General features: G+C 36.4%; 1 long non-coding RNA gene and 1 pseudogene across 1 annotated transcript in view; both read left to right on the plus strand.

Moving 5' to 3' along the window:
• The window catches only part of LOC107985978 (uncharacterized), a 77,592-nt gene extending 68,642 nt beyond the window's left edge, over positions 1–8,950 (plus strand). The window contains exon 4 of the long non-coding RNA XR_001739867.1: positions 8,774–8,950. This is a non-coding gene — a long non-coding RNA (uncharacterized LOC107985978). The remainder of the gene's footprint in view (positions 1–8,773) is intronic.
• Positions 15,791–16,594, plus strand: LOC100420775 (5'-nucleotidase domain containing 2 pseudogene; annotated as a pseudogene).

The raw sequence follows: 21,951 nt of genomic DNA on the forward strand, positions 1-21,951 counted from the left end.
ATTTGGAATAATTTTATTACCCACTAGAGTTACACTCTTGTGTATCTCGATATTACCAGTTCTTTTCAGAGTAATATGCACTTTAAATTTTTCTCCAATGATACGAAGGCAATATTCTGAACAATAGTTGCTACTATTTCAGGACTTATAGTTTTTACTTTTATTTTTGTTTTAGTGAAGTCAGCAGTTTCCAAAGAGTAACCTAAAGCTATGTTTAGATTCATCTTCGGTAGTCAACTTTTTAAAACAGAGCACAAAGCATGGGTTGAAAGAGGGAAAAATAAGGCCACTTTTGAATAGAAAGTAGAATAATATCATAGATATTAAAAAGGAATGTTCATTGTGTTTTCTTAGTTTTCATGAAATTACAAATACATACTTTTTGTAGCTAGGACTGGCTTTCAAAATATAGAGTGTATGAGCCTTATGTACAGTCATACCATAAGATCTTTGACTCCAAGTTTGGAAGGGACAGTTTTTTCAGAGTCCTTCCTTTATCACCCAATTAAGAATCAGCTTATTATAATCCTGACAGAAGTACAGACAGCTTCTGCTTCAAATGCCTGCGGGGATAAGGACCACACAGAGTTTCACAAGATTACTCTATACTGAGGTGGAATGTTTTATATGGATATGGAGCCAAAATCTGTTTACTTGTAGTTGATACTACAATAATATTTACGGGACATTATTACCCAGAATAATTCATCTTTTACCCTGAAGTTTTCCAAATATTAGGGAAGTAACACTGTATTGGAGGTACAGGCTGAATTGCTGTTCCAGTGCCTCTTATAAACATATAACTCAGAGAAACATTCCAAGACTATGTCTTAACCGAGCTCGGTCTTATTAAAGAATCACATGTTAGATTCCAAGCAAATTTATTATTTAAATAAAAGCTAACTTGTTTATTTATACATAACTTAAATGGTCCTGTATCTTTTTTTAACCATACGTTCTTTTTAAGTCAGTGCACACAATCTGTTTACATAGCCCCTTGGTCTGATACGAGAAATCTTGCTTCACAGTTCACATCACTGGGGGAATACTGGTGGAGACAAAAGAGAATGGGAAATGATATGCTTAGTACTATATATTTTATTGAATCTAACATGTCATTGATTATGAGATACACCTTTATTTTATGAACTGCTTTGGATCCATGAAGTAGGATATTTATTAATTTGAAATATTACATAGCTAAATGAAAACTGAGACCAATTCCTCTTATTCTATTCTTCTCTACAGGTAGGGATAGGGGAGGACAAGAGAGGAACCATATAAAGTGACTATTAATCTCTCTATGTATTTTATGCCAAATAATCAAATATTGAGAGTGGCTAGCAATGTGGAAGAGGGGGCAACATAAGCATTTTTCATATTTTTAAAACATGGCACCGTATGAAAGTGGCTAAAAACCTGGCAAGGCTTTTCTGAATAATAGCAATTTTACTATTTTTTTTCTACAAAGATTTTTTTGTACTCTTAGCATATAAACAGTCAGTATAGATGGCATTTATTAAGCTTTATCAATTACATGTCACATTGTGTGATGCTTTTTTCTTCTTAATATTATTTTTAAATCTTATGAGAAACAAAAATATCAGGATGAAGAATAGACCGAGAACTTGGGATGAGTGTGAGGGAATCCAGAGACAGGGAGAAATAGTGTAAAAAGAAGAATCAAAGATATAATTTCTGTTACCGTGGCTCATTACATGCTAGTCAATATCTTTCTTTGTTTAATTTACCAAGTTAAAAGAACAAGTCAATAATACCATACATAGGAGGATATAATAAAAGTCAGAATAAAAGAGGAAGACTGAGTAAGTGGAAGGATTTACCATTGATAGTAGCAGAGACATATTTTTAAATGTTTTGCTGCTATGGACATTGGGTATACACAACCTAGTTATGGATATTGTCATGATTTTAAAAATAAATCCTGAGTTAGTTTAGCATGCATTATATTTCCAGATCAATGCTAAAGTTTAGGAGAGGAAAGTTCATTACAAAAATTTTTTTAAAGAAAATACAAACTGAATTTGTATTATGTAGAAAAAGACTAAAGCTGAAAGAGAAACATGTGAGCCTTGTTAGTAACCCTTTGCTGTATAAGCCAAGACCTCTGAAGACTTTCTTGATGCTTTAGAAGGCAAGAACGTTTCACTAAACTTGTTTATAAAATTTACCGTAGATCACCTACATTCTTTTCATTTCCTTGAAATTAAAAAAAAATTAACTTGGCTCATAGGGGCCTGCAAATGATTTTAAAGGCCAACCTGCCATATGAACAGGAACCCACTAACTTGGGCATAATCATAAGTTTCCTTTTTATCAATCTGGGGAGGCGTTCGCTCCTACTCTTCTTTCCTTTTTCTTTCCTATTTTTTTTTTTTTTACCCTTGTATTTTATGTGAGACAATAAGGTTTGCCTTTTAAGTTGAAACTTAGGGAAAAACAAAACAAAGCTTGTTCTCTTTCCTGTTAGGTGTTGATAAGGAACACTACAGATACCAGGAAACTGACTTGAATTTTTGGCAGAGGATAGTATTTGTAGCTATTGCCAACTTGACGCTTATACCTATGTGGGAAGTGTGATGATGCTTTTTCTTTCCCTAGATATTGCAGAGGACTTGGAGTGCCATTATACAGCTCTCTCTCATCTCTTTATTATCTGAACAGGAAAATCATTTCATTGAATTGTGGTCACACACCTGGCAAAATTTATTTTTTCTAGATTACTGGCAGTGAAATGTAACATGAAAAGCAGAGAAGGACAATAGTATAGACAAGACATTCTTTCGCCTGTCAGGATGTGATCCCATCTGGACTACGGTATATTGATTGCAAAAATAACCCAAATTCTTCCCTGTATCCATGCCTTTTGTAAGGTATTTGCAACATCTCCCAACAAGGAGGGTATTTCCTCATCCTATAATCTGAGCTGGTTTAGTGACTTGATTTGGTTTAAAGAATGTGACGGAAATGCTGGTGTGCCAGTTCTGATCAGAGCCCTCTGAAGTTTCTATGTACTACCACTCTCCCTCAGATCCCCACCTCAACAAAGAAAATAAGCCCTGCTGGAGTACTAGAGGATGAGAAGCCGTGAGGAGCAGAGCCCAGAGAGCTGAGATCCTCCTTGACCAGCCAACCCTGAGCCAATCCACCAGCTGACCCAGATGTCTAAGCCTGGCCAGCCAAGATCAGTTGAGTTTTGCTTAAATCAGCAGAACCTCCTAGCCCATGTGTGGACCCATAAGCCAAAATTAACATTTATTGTTGTATGCCATCAAGGTTTTGTGATTGTCACGCCAGAGTATTTTTTGTAATTGGAAGTATCTCTTTCCAATGAACCAATGGGCACTGATATATGGCAGTAGGTTGAGGCATCTACTTTCCCTGAGTTTAATTCAAAGACTTCTAGAAGTTCCCAAGCTGTTATTTATATTCGTTTCATGTTTCTTGCAACTAGTTTTCCAACTTCTTTTCCTCCCAGTTTGCCACAGAAAAAGAATGATTAAAGAGTCAAGTCTGTATTTGGAATTCTCAGCTTCTTTTAAAATGTATCTTCCCATGAAGGTTCCCCAGCACACGTGCCTCCTCCTTGCAGTCTCTTGTTAACCTGTTCAAAGGACCCACTTCAGTCACTTGTAGGAATAAATGAATGAAAATGCATACAATATTATGGAAATAGTTGAATTTTAATAGAGCCCAAAGTCTTACATTGTTTTTGCTTCAGTTGTAATCTTAGGCCACTTACAGCAGAATCATCTGGGGGAGATGAGTAAAATGCATATTCTTAGGTCCCACCCTGACTTACTACATCAGAAACAGAATTGGAGCAGAGGTTGATATAGTTAGGTTTGGCAGCAATTTTTGTTTGCTTGTTTCTTTTTTGTTTAGTATGGTTTTCCACTTGTGAAATTATACAACAGACTCAGATCAACAGTCAGCTCCTCCATTTAATTGAATGGGAAACTTTCTTTGCAGTCAGGCATCAAGAAAAACCTCCATGTATTTCAAATATACAGGTTTATATTTGAATGTAAAATTAGAAGAAATAAAGAATTATGCCATGACTGGAAGCACCCAGGGAACAAAAATTAGGAAGGCTATTACCAGCAACCCTATCCTGCAGCACCTAAGCAGCTAGTTCTTAAGAAATTAACCTGAAATTTGCTTCAAACGTTACCTCTGACACCAGCACACATATCTGTCCAAATCTGTTTCTGTGAATTAATGGTCTATCCTTGTCTTTCACTTTCTAGATTTCATGCAAGTGTCTCTCATTAGCTGACTCTAACTTGAAACCAGGTGGAGAAGGGGAATCTGGAAAATGTAGTTCCCAGCTTCTTCCTTGATATGCAGAAATATCTAAGAAGAAGCTGGCAATCAGGACAAATTGACAACAGAGAATCCAGCATATATCGAATCCCTGAAGTGGTGACACTGAAACTGGGATCCAACAGTTTTAAAGAATAAAATCTCCACTTTTAGGTAGGAAGCTAGAAGAAGTATAAGTGTTATCTAAATATTGTTATATTTACAGATAATTTTGGAGAATTTAAACTAAGAAAAGATGGAGATAGGATTTCCTGTCATACTCTATAGGTATCAACAATTCGGTCTTCACAGTTTTATACTCATTGTACATAATGAAATTAATACTTTTTGTAAAATATCAAAAATAAGAATAAAACTATACACTAGAAATAGCAAATATCAAAAGTGACCAGGTGTGACTGCTAATGCCCTCTATTGGTGATAGGCAGGTTGCACAGGTTTTAATTCTGCCACTTATTTGTGAACATTGGTAAGTTCAAAGTTCATGAGCAAAGGACAATCTGTATGTGTGTGTGTGTGTGTGTGTGTGTGTGTGTGTATATATATATGAATTTCCATCTTGAGCAAAAATAAATGTCAAATGTGTGGCAGGGAATGAAAGCAGCTTATGTTTATTTTGTTTACATAATTTTATTGAATGCTTACAACAAGCCTGTAAAGTGAATATTGTTTCCATTCTGTACATTTTGGAGCTAAGGGTCAGAGAGAATAGTTACCTCCAAGTCACATATTTTATAAAAGGCAGAGCCAGAATTTAAACCTATAGCTTCTGACTCCAAGCTGCGTGCTCTTCCCACGTCATCTCTCTGCTTCCATAAATACAATTTTTCAGTATACAAAGTCCCTGTTTTGCAGAGAGGAGAACATAGCATTCTTTTCTCTTTTGCTCTTGTCCTTTCAACCTCCGCTGCTGACTCTCATGATGGAAGGGAGGAAGAACATTTGTCTTCTTTTTTTCAGTCCTCCTAGCATCTATTCCTCCTTCTTATGAGCATATCCATTTCTTTCCAGAAGATTTCCACTCTCTTTCTGTGTGCGGTCTTAGTGAAATGTTGAAACCAGGGTTTGCCTCCTACTACTGAAGCTGAAGTGGCAGAATACTTCAGTCCACCACCCTAGTACAGCTAAGGAGTGAACAGGTGACTCAAGATTGGCCAGTCAAATGCGTTCCTCTAGAGCTTTGAAATTTGAGCAAAGGATGGAAATCAAATTTGAAGACCATGTGATTCAATGGCAGACTGTTTGGTATAAAAATCACTATTGTAGATCCTGTTTCGTTGCTGGTTTAGTTTGTCAATTTTCAAATAACAACAACCTTCCTTTAGATTACGTGATTGTCAACTGCTACTACTCTTACCTTTCTTTTCAAAGTTGGCTAGATTAAGTTTCTATCACAATTAAGAATCCAAATTAATATAATTATCTCTAATCATTAATACATTCACCTGCTTTAATCCATTTAAAATATGTAAATGTGGGTATTAAAAATAAATCCAAGATCTGGAAAAAATAACTTTGTATTAGATAATTTTATTGAATTTAATGTACAGTATGTACATAAAGCAGAAATGCTTTTAGTTTCTTGCGGCAGAGAAAATTCCGTTGCTTTTTAAAATCTTGGAATAAAATAGAAAAAATGGGAACAAAAAAGATAGCATAGAGGTGGGAATTGTTACTATACAAAATTGATGCTGTAAATATGTAAATAATGTACCTCAACTAAGAACTTTCTGGAAGTCTGTGCAATAAGAAAACATGGTCAGTTGCATACATATGAGGATTCTCAAGATAAAAATGACTTACAATTACTCCTGTACTGAGTCTACAGAAAAAAAATATAGTTCTTGTGCTCTCATGTTGTAACTGTACAAAATGCAGCAAATAGTATCTGGAAAGGCACCGCTAGAGGAAATACTACAGCTTGGTTCACTGGCTGTTTTTAATAATATTCCTCAATGTAAGTTAATAGCATTATGCCAAAGTAACATTCACTGAAAGCAATTCTGATGGGGACAAAAATGATATGACCTCAGTATGTAATCCTCTGGGTCTTGTGTTTTATTCATGGAGAGATTTTAAATACGGCACATCTCGGGGTTTTTACACTGTATTGTGCTTTGCAGAAATTGTAGTTTTTTTCACAGATCAAAGTTTTGTGGCAACCCTTTGTTAATCAAGTCTATCAGCACCATTTTTCCAATAATATGCCCAATTTGTATATCTGTGTCATATTTTAGTAATCTTTGCAATATTTCAAGCTCTTTTGTGATCATTATACCTGTTATGGTTATCTGTGACCAGTGATCTTTGAAATTACTATTGTAATTGTTTTGGGATGCCATGAACCATGCCCACACAGCTAACTTAATAAATGGTGTAGGTGTTGTGATTGCTCCGTCAACCAGCCATTTCTTCATGTCTCTTCCTCTTCTTGGGCCTCCCTAATCCCTGAGACACAACAATATTGAAATTAGGCCAATTAATGAGCCTACTGACCTCTAAGTGTTCAAGGAAAAAAAAAAAGTAACTTGTATCTCATTTTAAATCAAAAGCTAGAAATAATTAGTCTTGTGAGGAAGACATGTTGAAAGCCAAGATAGGCTGAAAGCTAGCCTGCTTGTGCCAAATAGCCAAATTGTGAATCCAAAGGAAAAGCTCTTGAAGAAAATTAAAAGTATTACTCCAGTGAACACATGAATGATAAGAAAACAAAACAGCCTTTTTGCTGATGTGGAGATAGTTTTAGTGGTCTGGATAAAAGATCAAACCAGCCACAACATTTACGTAAGCCAAAACCTAATCCACAGCAAGACTCTTCAATTCTATGAAAGATGAGATAAGTGAAGAAGCTACAGAAGAAAAGTTTGCAGCTGGCAGAGCTTGGTTCAGGGTTTAAGGAAAGATGTCTCCATAACATAAAAGGGCAAGGAGAAGCTACAAGAGCTGGTATAGAAGCTGAAGCAAGTTTTACAGAAGATCTAGCTAAGATAACTGATGAACGTGGCACACTAAACAGATTTTCAATTTAGATAAAACAGCCTTTTATCAGAAGGAGATGCCATCTGGAACTTTGATAGCTAGAAGGGAGAAATCAATGCCTGGCTTCAAAGCTTCAAAAGACAGGCTGACTTTGTTCTTAGGGGCTGATGCAGCTGGTGCCTTTAAGTTGAAGACAATGCTCATTTACAGTTTGAAAATCCTAGAGTCCTTCAGAATTATACTAAATCTACACTCCCTGTGCTCTACAAGTAGAACAACAAAACCTGGTTGACATCACATACATTTATTCTATGGTTTACTGAATATTTTAAGCCTACTGTTGAGACCTACATCTCAGAAAAAATATTACTTCTCATTGACAATGCACCTAGTCACTCAAGATTTCTGATGGAGATGTACAAGAAGATTAATGCTGTTTTCCTGCCTGTTAACACAATATCCGTTCTGCAGCCCATGGATCAAGGAGAATTTTTAACTTTAAGTCTTACTATTTAAGAAATGCATTTCATAAGGCTATAGCTGCCATAGGTAATTCCTCTAATGGATTGGGGCAAAGTAAATTAAAAACCTTGCACGAAAGATTCACCAGTCTAGGTGCCACTAACAACATTCATGATTCATGAAAGAATCATGAAGTCAAAATATCAACATTAACAGGAGTTTGAAAGAAGTTGATTTCAACCCTCATGAGTAACTTTTTGATGGGGTCAAGACTTCAGACTGCAGAAGTGGTAGAAACAGTAAGAGAACTAGAGTTAGAGATGGAGCCTGATGATGTGACTAACTTGCTGCAATCTCGTGATAAAACTTGAATAAATGAGTTGCTTCTTATTGATGAGCAAAAAATAAATGGTTTATTTGTTGAGATAGAAACTTTTGTAGGGAAGATGCTGTGAACATCACATTGTTGAAATAACAACAAAAGATTTTAATTTTTTTTTTTTTTTGAGATGGAGCCTCACCCTGTTGCCCAGACTGGAGTGTGGTGGTGTGATCTTGGCTCACTGCAACCTCCGCCTCCCAGGTTCAAGCAATTCTCCTGCCTCGGCCTCCCTAGTATCTGGGATTACAGGTGTCTGCCACTATGCATGGCTAATTTTTGTATTTTTACTAGAGACGGGGTTTCACCATATTGGCCAGGCTGGTTTCGAACTCCTGACCTCAAGTGATCCACCCACCTTGGCTTTTCAAAGTGCTGGGATTACAGGCATGAGCCACCACTCCCAACCAACAACAAAAGATTTTAAAGTGTTGCATAAACTTAGTTGACACAGAAGCACAAGGGTTTGAGAGGAGTGACTTCAGTTTGGAAAGAAATTCTACTGTCAGTAAAATGCTATCAAACAACATTGCATGCTATAGAGAAATCTTTTGTGAAAAGAGGAGTCAATTGATTCACTAAACTTCATTGTTTTCTTATTTTCAGAAATTGCCACAGCCACTCCAACCTTTAGCAACCACCACCCTGGTCAGTGAGCAGCCAACCATTGAAGGTAGGACCCTTAAGCAAAACCGTTATGAATAACTGAAGGCTCGGATGACTGTTACCATATTTAAATTAATGTATGTACTGGTTTTTACAGATTTAATGCTATTGCACACTTCATATACTACAGTATAATGTAAACATAACTTTTTACTTTATTTGAACTTTTAGGTTCAGGGGTATATTTGCAGGTTTATTATATAGGTAAATTTCATGTCATGGAAATTTGGTGTACATATTATTTCGTCACCTGGGTGATAAGTATACTACCTGATGGGTAGTTTTTCAATCCTCATCCTCCTCCCTCCCTCCCTCCACCCACAAGTAAGCCCCAGTGTCTGTTGTTCCCTTCTTTGTGTCCATATGTATTCAATGTTTAACTCCCATTTATAAGTGAGAAAATGCAGTACGTGGTTTCCTTTTCTTGTGTTAGTTCGCTTAGGTTAACGGCCTCCAGCTCCATCCATGTTGCTGCAAAGGATATGATCTCGTTTTTTATTATAGCTGTGTAGTATTCCATGGTGTGTATGTACCACATTTTTTGATCCAGTCTACCATTGATGGCATTCAGGTTGAATCCATGTTTTTGCTATTTTGAGTAGTCCTGCAATGAACATATGCATGCATGTGTCTTTATGGTAGAATGATTTATATTCCTTTGAATATATGTCCAATAATGGGATTGCTGGGTTGAATTGTATTTCTGATTTGAGTTATTTGAGAAATCACCATACTGCTTTCCACAATGACTGAACAAAATTCCCACTAGCAGTGTATAAACGTTCCCTTTTCTCTGAAACCTCACTAGCATCTGTTATTTTTTTATTTTTTAATAATATCCATTCTGACTAGTGTGAGATGGTATCTCATTGTGGTTTTGATTTATATTTCTCTAATGATTAGTGACCTTGAGCATTTTTTCATATGATTATTGGCCACATGCATGTCTTCTTTGGAAAAGTGTCTTTTCGAGCCCTTTGCCCACTTTTTGATGGGGTTGTTTGTTTCATGTTTGTTGATTTGTTTGTTTCTTATAGAGTCTTGATATTAGACCTTTGTCAGATCCATACTTTGCAAATATTTTCTCCCATTCTCTAGGTTGTCTATTTACTCTGTTGATAGTTTCTTTTGCTGTGCAGAAACTCTTTAGTGTAATTAGGTCCCATTTGTCCATTTATGTTTTTGTTGTAATTGCTTTTGGCATCTTTGTCATGAAATCTTTGCCAGGGCCTACGTCCGGAATGGTATTTCCTGGGTTTTCTTCCAGGGTTTTTGTAGTTTCAGGTTTTACATGTAACTCTTTAATCCATCTTGAGTTAATTTCTGTATATGATGTAAGGTAGGAGTCCAGTTTCAGTCTTCTGCATATTGCTAGCCAGTTATCCCAGGACAATTTATTAAATTGTTCCTCTCCCATTTGCTTATTTTTATCAGGTTTGTTGAAGATCAGATTGTTGTAGATGTACAGCACTATTTCTGGTCTCTCTATTCTGTGTCATTGGTGTATGAGGCTGTTTTTGTACCAGTACCATGCTTTTTTGGTTACTGCAGCCTTAGAGTGTAATTTGAATTTGGGTAATGTGATGCATCTAGCTTTGTTCTTTTTGCTTAGGATTGCCTTGACTGTTAGAGAACACAGGTCCTCTATCATAAACAACCCAAAAAATTTGTGTGACTCACTCTATTGAGATATTTGCTTTATTGCAGTGGCCTGGAACTGAACTTCCAATATCTCTGAGGTATGCCTGTATTTAGAGGAATGGGCAGGCTACTAACATTCAAGTACCCTTCCAAAACCATCATTTTTGTAGAGTATTGCTGAGAAATGAGTTCAGGGTTATACTCCATAACAATTACCTTCTGGAGAATTAGTCTATGTTGGCTGTGGAGCAGATAGATGGTTACTCTGGCCATTGTTAAAGTGGAGGGAGTAAAAAGATGAAGTATAACTGCCATTATACACTGACAACATGATTGTGAATTTAAAAAATACAAAGAAATTTACAAACTACAAGAACTAATAAGTGAATTCAGCCAGGTCACAGGATACGAGATGAGCTGTATTTTTATAAACTAGCAACAAACAAGTATACAATACAAGATTTTTAAATACTATTTATAATTTCACTGAAACCATAAAATATCTAAGAATAAAATTAATAAACTATATGAAAGAATTTTCCACAAACTATAGACAAAATGAACATTGCTGAAATAAATCAAAGATCTAAATAAATAGGAAAATATGCCATGTTCATAGAATAAAAGACTCTAAACTGCTAGATTGTATTAGTCTGTTCTCATACTGCCATTAAGAAATACCCGAGACTGGGTAATTTATAAAGAAAAGAGGTTTAAATAACTCACAGTGTTATATGGCTGGGGAGGCCTAAGGAAACTTAAAATCATGGAATAAGGGGAAGCAGGCATGTCTTACATGGCGGTAGGTGAGAGAAGAGAAAACTAAGGGGGAAGAGCACCTTATAAAACCATCAGATCTCGTGAGAACTCACTCCCTATCATGAGAACAGCATGAGGGAAACTGCCCCTATTCCAGTCACCTTTCTCCCTTGACACATGAGGATCACAATTTGAGATGAGATTTGGGTGGAGTCACAAAGCCCAGCCATATCATAGATGTAAATTTTCCTCAAATAAAGTCCATGTAATCCCAGCAGATTTTTTGTTAAAGTATTTAAGACAATTCCAAAAGTTATATGAGAAGATAAAAGACACAGAGAGGCTACAACCTAACCTCTTATAACAAATGTCTTATATTTTTGTAAGGGGAAAAGATATATGAAAGGAACAGAAGAGAGTGCAGAAATGGACCTCACATACACAACCTCTTGATTTACACCAGAAGCACCAATGCACTTCAAAGGGAAAATAAATATCTTCAAAATAAATGGTATTGGAGCCATGGGATATTCATAAAAAATTATAAATAAATAAATAAACCCTATATGCTCCTTTACATTACACAGGGAAATTAAGTTGACTTAACTGTAGTAGTTAAAAGTATAATTTTCCCATAAAACATAAAAGAATATCTTCATGGAATTAGATTGACAAAGATTTCTTATACAAAGCAACAAAATCCCTAGCTACGAAAAGAAAAAATAACCTGGTAAATTGTAATTTACCCAACTTGTACATTTTATCATCAAAAGATACCATTAAGAAAGTAAAAATGTAAGCATCAGACTGGGGAAAATACATAATAGACAAAGAACTGCACATGTAATATATATTAAACTTACAATACGAAAAAGGACCAAAAATGGCCAAAAGAGAATATCCCAATGGACAATAAACATATGAAAATGCGCTTAATATAATTAATCAGGAATATATTAATTAAAAGCATAATATACTACTAAACACCCATCAAAATGGCTCAAAGATGTTTGGATAGCAAATGAGCATATTAATAGATGTGCAGTGCTATTAGGAAAATGCAAAACTAAAATTACAATGAGGTACCACTATACACCTGTGAAAATGGGTAAAATTAAAAAGATTGACCATACCAAGTGTTGATGAAGATGTGGAAGAATTGAAACTCTTATACCACAAATGGTGGAAAAATAAAATGTTACAACTACTTTAGAATATCATTGGGCAGTTGCTAAAAACATTAAACATATATCTACATTATGACCCAGCTACTCTAATTCTAGGTATATAATGAAGAAAAATAAGTAAAATTGTTTGCATAGTCAGTGGCAACATATATTCTGGATTACATGATTATACACACACTTATATACATTTGCTTGTACATAGAATATCTCTGTATTTACATAAGGAACTGTTTTACTTCCCTGCATAGGTAAGGGACTGACTGGGAGACTGGATGGGAGAGGAAATGTTTTTACACTGAATATCACTTACCATATTTGAATTGTGTACTGTGTGCATGTATTACCCATTTCAAAAATGAACCAACTTTTTATTTATTAAAAGTCAATCAGGTCTACTCCAGCACACATATTGAGTCCTATTTGATTATGGTATATTGTTCTACTATTTTATTATTATTGCCATTTATCTGTTGCTGTTCATAATTTATAAATTAAAGTTTATTATATGTATGTATAGGAAAAAAGTATATACAGGGCTTAGGACTATCTGTGGTTTCAAGTACCCACTGGAGGTCTTAGAATGTATTTCCTGAAAATATGGGAGGATTACTGTAATTCGTAACAAAAAAAGCCAGTTAGCGCTAAAATACAACAATAGCATTCTATCATTAACTTGCTGAGAAGCAAGGTCGAGTAAACCTGGAATGAAGATACTAGATTCTATGATGTGACTGCCATAAATTTAGTTGCTGCACATCTTCAACTATGCTTCTTCCCACAAGTATTTTTTGCAAGGTTCTCTTCCACCTGTTTCTTCATCAAAGTTTAATTTCTTTTTGTTTAAGAGCCCAAGGTATCATGTTTTGCTTTCTTTCTTTCTTTTTTTTTTTAATTTTTGTTTGTAATGTCTATCTCTTCAATACAAACAACTAGAAGTGTCATGATACAATGAATATTTTTTAGACTAGACAATCTCAGGCATACAGCAGCATACAGTTTATAACCATGACTAAAATTATCCTCAAAAAAGAAAACAAAAGATATTAACATTGCCTTAAGCCACAGCTATTTTTGTTAATTTATCACAAATTACCCTTGCACATTGCACTTGCAAGAAATAAATTATTTTCCTTTGTTCAATATATTTATGACTGTGCTGAATACTGTGGGCAATTTCAACACAACACTAAGTATTTGTGTATCTAAACATAGAAAAGGTATGGTAAAAATATGGTATTATAATCTTACAGGACCACTTCCATATATGTGGTCTGTCATTCACCAAAATGTCATTTGACATATGACTGGACTTATATTGAGACTACAGATAGCAGCTAAAAAAGTCAGAAGTTTGATTCTGGAATATTGAATTCCCTATTAGAAATGCAAATGGATTGAGTGGAAGTTGAATGGAGATGAAATATATGTTTGGATTCAAAGGAAAATATCTCTGCTGGTGCTACAAATTTGGGAATCATCAATATATAGAAAGTAGGTTATGTTAAAGCTATGATACAGGATGAAGTCACTAAGAGAATAAGAGTAGGTAGAAAAAGAGTAGGTCCAAGTATTGCATCTCGAAACACTAAAACACTGAGAGGCAGTAGACATAAAGAGGAGATTGATAAGAAAAGGCAAGAAGGATGTGAATAAAGCCCAGGGAGTTTAGTGTCCCAGAAGCCAAATGAAGAAAATATTTCAAGGAAGAGAGAAGAGTCAACTGTGTCAAATGCTTCTGATAAGCAAGAAAAATGAGGAACTGGCTATTAGATTTTGCAATGTGGAAGATATTCATGATAACACTTTAGGTGGAATAGTTTGATTGAAAATCTGATTGGAGTGGTTTTAAGAGAGAATGAGAAAGAAAAATTGGAGACATTAAGTTTATATAAACTATTCCAGGATAATGACATGAGTATATAATGATGATTTCAATATCAGATAACAAACTCTTGTTCACAAGAAATAGACCTTTACTAATATTCCCTATAGTTGAACATAATATTATGTTGAATTAATACACAAAGTTTATTGAAGCATTGTGTGCAATAGTAAAACATTGAATAAACTTGGCTAATGAGTAATTATTGGTCAAATAAAATATGGTTTGCTGAGTATGGTGTGTGTAGTATGGAGTACTACAAAGCTGTTGGAGAGAAAATGGTAAATCCTACAATGTTTGACATTGAAATATCTCCAAGATATTTTTGGTGAACAAAGCTCATGATGATATAGCATTTATAATAAATTCTTTTAGTGTGTATCTACGTGTAGTTTAATGACTTAGTTGAACTTGACAGAGCTCAATCATGAAAAAATTATTTTGGTCAATGCTACTATACTACTGAAGTATCAGAATAGTCTGATTTGGGGGTGTTAAAATATTCAGTGTGATCCAAGTCAGAACTTTCATCTCACACCAAATTAAAAGTTGCTGCTGTTCCTCAGTACTCAGCTGCTCAGGGAGGCATGTTCTGCCTTTTCTATTGTTTTCTCTCTCTCTGCTCCACAGCTAGCTGCTGCTTTGGCTCCTCCAGCATGGGCAAGGAATAGAAAGAAATTAACAAAATCACCATGGCTGATTCTGTTGTACTTTGGTATCAGTGTTCCAAATGCTGGCGTACGTCCAAATGCTGGCTCTTTTCCTCATAAAATGATCATGTGGCTTCTTCAAAGACTTACCCGTTGTGAATCATATAACACTGTTCTTTGACATAAGCACTCACTAGTTGGCCTGTGTAACCCCCGACTTTAGCCTCTGCTCTGACACCCCTGCAGCCTCTCTCTTCTGGTTGACTTCTTCCTGGCAGGACATCATATTAGGGAGTGTTAAACAAGCCAGTGTGGTCATACACAATATTTAAGTTATTTTTGGTAAACAATGGGTGCATCCCCCAAAGAAATGTGAGAACTATCTCTGCTCTATCCTGCTCTGCTAAACCTACCTCTATTTTACTGTACCCTTGCTGTCAGATGTTATTGAAAATAAATCACAGAAAAATTCTACTGCACACAGATATTTATTAAGCAAATATTCAGAAGCAAGCAACACAAAATAGTTCTTACAAGGTTCTCTGAAAGTTCAATGATGGTCCAGCTCTCTGAACTTTTAAGTATTCCTAAAAGCACCTTCCTAAAAAGGTGTATTCATGGCAGACAAAATAACATTCAAGAAGTAGGTGTCTGTCAATCATATAGTAGGCATAAGACAACTAGAAGCCTTCCTAAACTAATGGTTGGACACAGAACTATTTAGGAATAAAGCCTTGAGAATGATCCCTAGAATAAATGAAGAGAATTCATTGACTATTTTATCTGAATTATTAAGGATGTTTCTAAAATAATTTAGCCAATAAATACACCTTGGTTATCTCTCAAAAGCCTCCTGTACTGGTGGATCTCACAGAACCTGAAGAAATATATCCTAAGAGAGAAAAAGACATTAATTGTCAGAGCCGCCTGGTGGCCCCCATGAAACAGCTGTTCCTCATCATGGCAGTGCTCTCAGCTTCAGGGACAAAAGGGTGTGGCATGTGGTGGGCTCTCATTGGCACCAGCTCTGCAAATTTGGTTATCATCAAGGAGGACAAGCCCAACTTTTTCACTGACCACCCCAAGTCTTTCAGGAAATTCAATAAGGGACCGCATCACCTGCCTGGAAAAGGGCACCACCTGTAGACAGACAGGAGATCATGCTAGACTTCCTGCACCAGAGGAAATGGCACCCTTCTCTCCATTCTCTACTCTCTTTGGAGACCATCACTACTGTGACCCAGCAGATGTTGGGCTGTGTGAGATCTGCATCATCAACACCCTGTGGTCCCTGCACTTGCTGACCAGGCTGCAGATATTCACCCACCCACCTGCCGGGCTCATGCAGACCCACCCAGGTGCAGAGTCCCAGCAGGTGGTGGCTGCATAGAGGAAGGAGAGGCAGGAGCTGAGAAGCATTAGCAAGGCTCTGTTAGATGCTCAGTTTGAGAGCATCTGCCTCACCTTCCACAAACTGCTTACTTCCTACCACACCCCATGTGCTTCTCTGGCCTGTACGTGGCCTTGCTCAGTGGCCTGCTCTATGCATGTAGACTTGACCCTCTATCTTCACTACCTGTCCTTGCAGTACCAGGGGCCTCAAATGCACAAAGTCTACACCAGCTTAATGAAGATGCCCTTCCCTGATGGCAATGGGGGAGCGGGAAGAATAACTACCCTAGGTTTACAAAGTGTAAACTAAAAAATGGAAACAAAATGTCACTCAGTCATTCTAACAGGCTAGTGCTTTAAGATGACTCCAACCCAGCTCTCTTCCATAATGTTGTGAGAAAAGTGTCTCTACCATGTTCTGAAAGCCCAGCCTTCCCCACAACAACTTTCTTTCCCTCTTCTTGCTATCAAAGCAACTCCATTTAGTCTCTTTCCATCAGACTTTTCCGAAGTGAGCCATGTGAGTCCACCCACTGGGATCCCTAAGTTCCAGGGTACATTGTTCAAATTCCGCTAAGAAGTCTGAAAACTTCTGCTCTGATTCAATGGCCTGCAGCTTAGCAACTATCCAGCCAGGAGGCTCACCAAGGACTAAGTTCTCCTCTGGCAAAAAAAAAAACCTCTTGTTTCACTTAAGATTTTCTTGGAGCTCTCTGGGCTTGAGATGAGGTTGGAGGCTGGGAGCTATAGAAGGTGAGGTGGTGGGTGTTGGAAAGCAGGTCCCTCCTCTGTCCAAGGAATGAAAGGGGCAATGGCACAGCCCTTCCTAATAAAAAGTAGGCGATTCTCTTGCTCCTCTGCAATGAATTGGGGAACATTTATTGCATGTCCTGAAGATTTTCCAGAAATTTTCCTAGGCATGTGAAATTACTGCTCCTATAGGTGTTAGAATTCAGATAATATTCACATATAAACTAAAACTCTCAATTAAAATCCAGCAAATATATTTTGTGCTAGTTTAACAAATACTTATTGAGTGCCTTCCTTATGGCAGTCACTGTCTTTGGCGTAGAATGTGTTTAGGATACAGTCTTTAGTGTCCACTAGTTACCCCTAGGGAATGGGTGGTGGTTTCCTTTTTTTACCTTTTTCTCTCATACAGTTCTATATTGTGAGAATTTTTTAAACAAAATTCAAAGTTTATAAATTATTTTCAAAATGATAGCAAAACTTTCTGTATTCTTCTCTAAATACATGCTTATAATTTATTTACCCAATATAAAATTCAGTTACTGTATTCTGAAAATTCAGGATGCCAGTCATCTTTCCCTTTAGGTTTATGACATTCTATGAGCATTACTTACAAGCTTGAGAGATAAGTTTAAAAAAAACAATCACCGATGTCCTAGTGATTTGCTCTATTTAGTAAGAGTAAATGCCCCTCTGTAAAGCGTGATTAAACTTTAGAACTTAAAAGGTCAGGTGTAGATTTATGCAAGATAAGACCACGTCTTACTTGCCAGCTCCTTTAAAAACGACGTTGCTACCTACCTACTTTGTCCTTCTTTGTGTCCCTAAAAAGATCTCTTTGGGATTTATAACAACCAATTAGAAACATGTATCCCAGATCTCCTGAGACTCTCACTCTTGCAGAGCAATTAAGTGTTCACTACATTCCCTGAAATAATGAGAGATGGATATTTTACTTAAATTTTGATAGTTGCAGGAAGTAGAAAAGAAAGTTCACATCAAATACTACATTGATATGCTCAACCAAATACTTATGCATTAATTATTTATTGCTGTGTAACAAATTACTCCAAAACCCTATTAAATAACTAACTTCTATTTTCTTGTAGTTTTTATGAGTCAGGAATCTGGATACGGCTTAGTGTGATGCCTTTGTTTTATGGTCTCTCATAAGGCTAGAATAAAGATGTTGACTGAGATAGAGTAATCTCAGTGCTCAACTAGGGAAGTGTGTTAGGCTGTTCTTGCATTGCTATAAAGAAATACCTGAGACTGGGTAATTTATTAAAAAAAAAAGGTTTAATTAGCTTATGGTTCTGCAGGCTGTACAGGAAGTATGGCGCTGGCATCTGCTCGACTTCTAGTGAAGCCTCAGGGAGCTTTCAGTCATGACAGAAGGTGAAGTGGGAACAGGCAGGTCACATGGCAAAATCAGGAGCAAGAAAGTAGCGGGCAGGTGCCACAAACTTTTAAATAACCAGATCTTGAGAGAATTTACTATTGCAAAGACAGTCCCAAGCCATGGAGGGTTCTACCCCCATAACTCAAACACCTTACACTAGACCCCACCTCCAGCACTGGGGATTACAATTCTACGTAAGATATGGGCAGGGACAAATATTCAAACTATATCAAGAAGGATCTGCTTCCAAGCTCAGTCATGTGGTTGTTGGCAAGTTCTCCCTAACCACTGTCCAGATACATCATTACTGTGCCACGTAAGTCTCTTCATAGGCCTATTTACAGCATACAACTGGATCCCCTAAGTCCAAGAGGAGACAGAGAGAGGCCCTCAAAATGAAAGCCACAGTCTTTCCATAACTTAATCTTGGAAGTGATGTCCCATCACTTATTGTAGTCTGTTAGAAGTGAGTCACTAAATGAACCCACTTTCAAGGGAGGGAGATTACACAAGTGTGTCAATACCAGGAGTTGGAGATCATTTGAGAACATTCTGTAGGCTGCCTACAACCTCTTTAACCTTTCTATTCTCTTCTCCTACCATCCCCACTCTCTCAAGATTCCTACTGTCAGCCAATAGTAGTATACCTCTCATTATTTTCTTCTTCCACCAGACTATAATTCCTTCTCTTTCTCGTTGTAGCATTTCTTCTCAGTTTGAACACCCCCATTTAAAAAAAGAAAAAAAAAATTAAGCAGAATGTAGACACTCCATTGTTTCTTTCAATATGTATCTTGAAGGATCTCAGTAGTAACAATAGAACTATGTAAACTTACTATAATATTATACTTAGAATTATTTTATATAATGATATTGCAATTAGACTTTATTACCATAACATACTTTTAATAGTTTCAATAATTAAATATATTAGGAAAGAAGCCGTGTTCAATGAAGTCTATATTATCATTGATTATATTTATAATGAGGCTTCTCTTAATGAATTGGGATTCTCAAAATAGTTTTTTTAAGATAAATTTTATTTAAAATGTGTGTTTGTTTCCAAAGTCTTTTCTTAATCTTTGTGTGCTCAGTACAAGTTCAATTACAGAGAAGAGGAACACAAACCTTTTGGCGTTTTGGCCAAGAACAATGTTGGTTATTTAACTCAATCTTACCTTGGAACAAACTGCCTTCTCAGAAAACATTTTGTTATCTTTTCCTTGTCTGCAGAATCAGTGACAAATAATGCTACATAGCCTTGAGTGCTCAGTGAACAAATGATGCCTTTGAAGAGGTTTCATGGCTTAATGGCTTTTTCTTTTCACTCTTGATATTGTGATATTTGCTGCTGTTGTTTTTGGTACTAAGTTAAATTTAAACCCTTTCTGGGCTCATCCAAAAATTCCAAAGGGAATAAACTTTATGTAATATCTCTGACCCAAGCTTTTAACTATTTTCAACTTTTGTCTCTGAAGTTTGGAGATAGATTCTTCCTGACCTCTGTAAGTAAGAAGAGAAATAATCTAATCAGTCATCTAACCATCTACAACTTGACTTGATCATTCTAAGATTGTCTTGTCCAGGAAGATGAAATTTCAAATAACTTACATTAGTTGTTTAAGACCTTTATGAAAGTCCGTTTTTCTGAGCATTAGACTACTCAGCCAGCTTTCATGAAAGGACTCAGGACCTTAGCTAGCTCAACCAGGCTCATCAAATGGCTATTTACTTTTCAAGACAGGGAACCCTGGCATCACTCTGTCCACAATCCTATATTATTATGTCATTTTTTTTCTTCAGTACAAACAGGCTTTCACAATGAATGAACTACATTAAGCCAGACATCCAAAATCCCATATTTTGTCTTTGTTCCCTCCCTACCTCCAGACACTATTAAGACTCTATCAATGAAATAATATTCTTTAATTTGGTAAGCAATAATCTTATCTACCCGTTACTTTTTCTTCCTTTATCAAAAATACAAGAATATACTCAATTTGCATTACTTACAAGTGGTGAGAGAACCATGTCAAGGAAAAGTAAGACAAATGCCTCAAATAAAAGCACATAAAGTTCAGCAGTAATATTTAATATTACCTGAGATAAAATATGAGACAATTTGGAAGTCAGGCAAGCAGAGAGTGGAGGACTAAGAGCCAAAGCTATGTTATGTGTGTGGTCTCCTTTCATCAGTTATGTAGGAAAAAAGTAATATAGACTTGTAGAGTTGATTTAAAGAGAGTGGTCGGGCATGGTGGCTCACGCCTGTAATCCTAGCACTTTGGGAGGCCGAGGCGGGTGGATCACAAGGTCAGGAGTTCGAGACCATCCTGGTCAACATGGTGAAACCCTTTCTCTATGAAAAATACAAAAATTAGCCGGGTGGGGTGGCGGGCACCTGTAATCCCACCTACTCGGGAGGCTGAGGCACGAGAATTGCTTGAACCCAGGAGGCAGAGGTTGCAGTGAGCAGAGATCATGCCACTGCAGTCTAGCCTGGGTGACAGAGCAAGACTCCATCTCAAAAAAAAAAAAAAAAAATAGCTTCTGCACACATGCAATTTCCATGGTCTACAACTAGGATGGTTGCTTTGCATGGAATGTGAACCTGAACGATAATAACTTCAGGAAATCTCACCAAAATATTTGCTATCAGGAGGTTAAAAGCATGAAACATACCACATTGGCTATATTTATGTTTATAAAAATCAGTGTGGATATAATATACTGTCCCTTTAATGTCCCTTTAAGCACTGCTGTTGTGTATAAAATCCCCTTCCAGATATAGATATGCATTTTCATTGTTGCAGCATCTCTAACAACTCTGATGATCAATTATCTGTCTTCTTCAATTAGAAAAGAAAGCTATCACCCTTGTTCCGTTTGCTAAAATTGTCCTTGAACACCAAGCTACTGCTCTTCAGATGTGGTCTTTCCATCATTGGACACTTGCCACCTTGGTAACCAACACTCTGTCTATTCAGCATTGTAGCTTTTGTTTAAACCCAGTGAACTTCACTTATGTTGAAAATAGAAGAGCATTTGAAGTTCTTTTTATAAAATTCTTGGCCTTCCTTGACAAGAGAACAAAGCAATGATAGACTGAATCTCAGGTAACATGAAGTGAGGCTTCAGGAAGCAAGATAAGGAGCAATTGAGTGGTCTCCTCTTAACATTATAGTAAGAAGTAAAAAGAAGTAATTTTAATATTCTTCCCTTTCTTTTTGTATTATTTTAATAGAAGACATATAAATAAGGTTATCCACTATTATTTGGTACTATAATATTTAAAGTCTGACTGTGCCATCAATTTGCCATTTTGTGGAGTTAAGGAAGTTAAAACATATAACTTGGCAAGTGGGTTACCATCAGTCCAGCAACTATCTTACATCAATAGTATGAATGTATATGAATCTTTGTTATAGAATTATGGTAACCTTATCTTTCCTGTT

The sequence above is a fragment of the Homo sapiens genome, chromosome 2 (genome assembly GCF_000001405.40).
Source record: "Homo sapiens chromosome 2, GRCh38.p14 Primary Assembly".
Taxonomy (NCBI): Eukaryota; Metazoa; Chordata; class Mammalia; order Primates; family Hominidae; genus Homo; species Homo sapiens.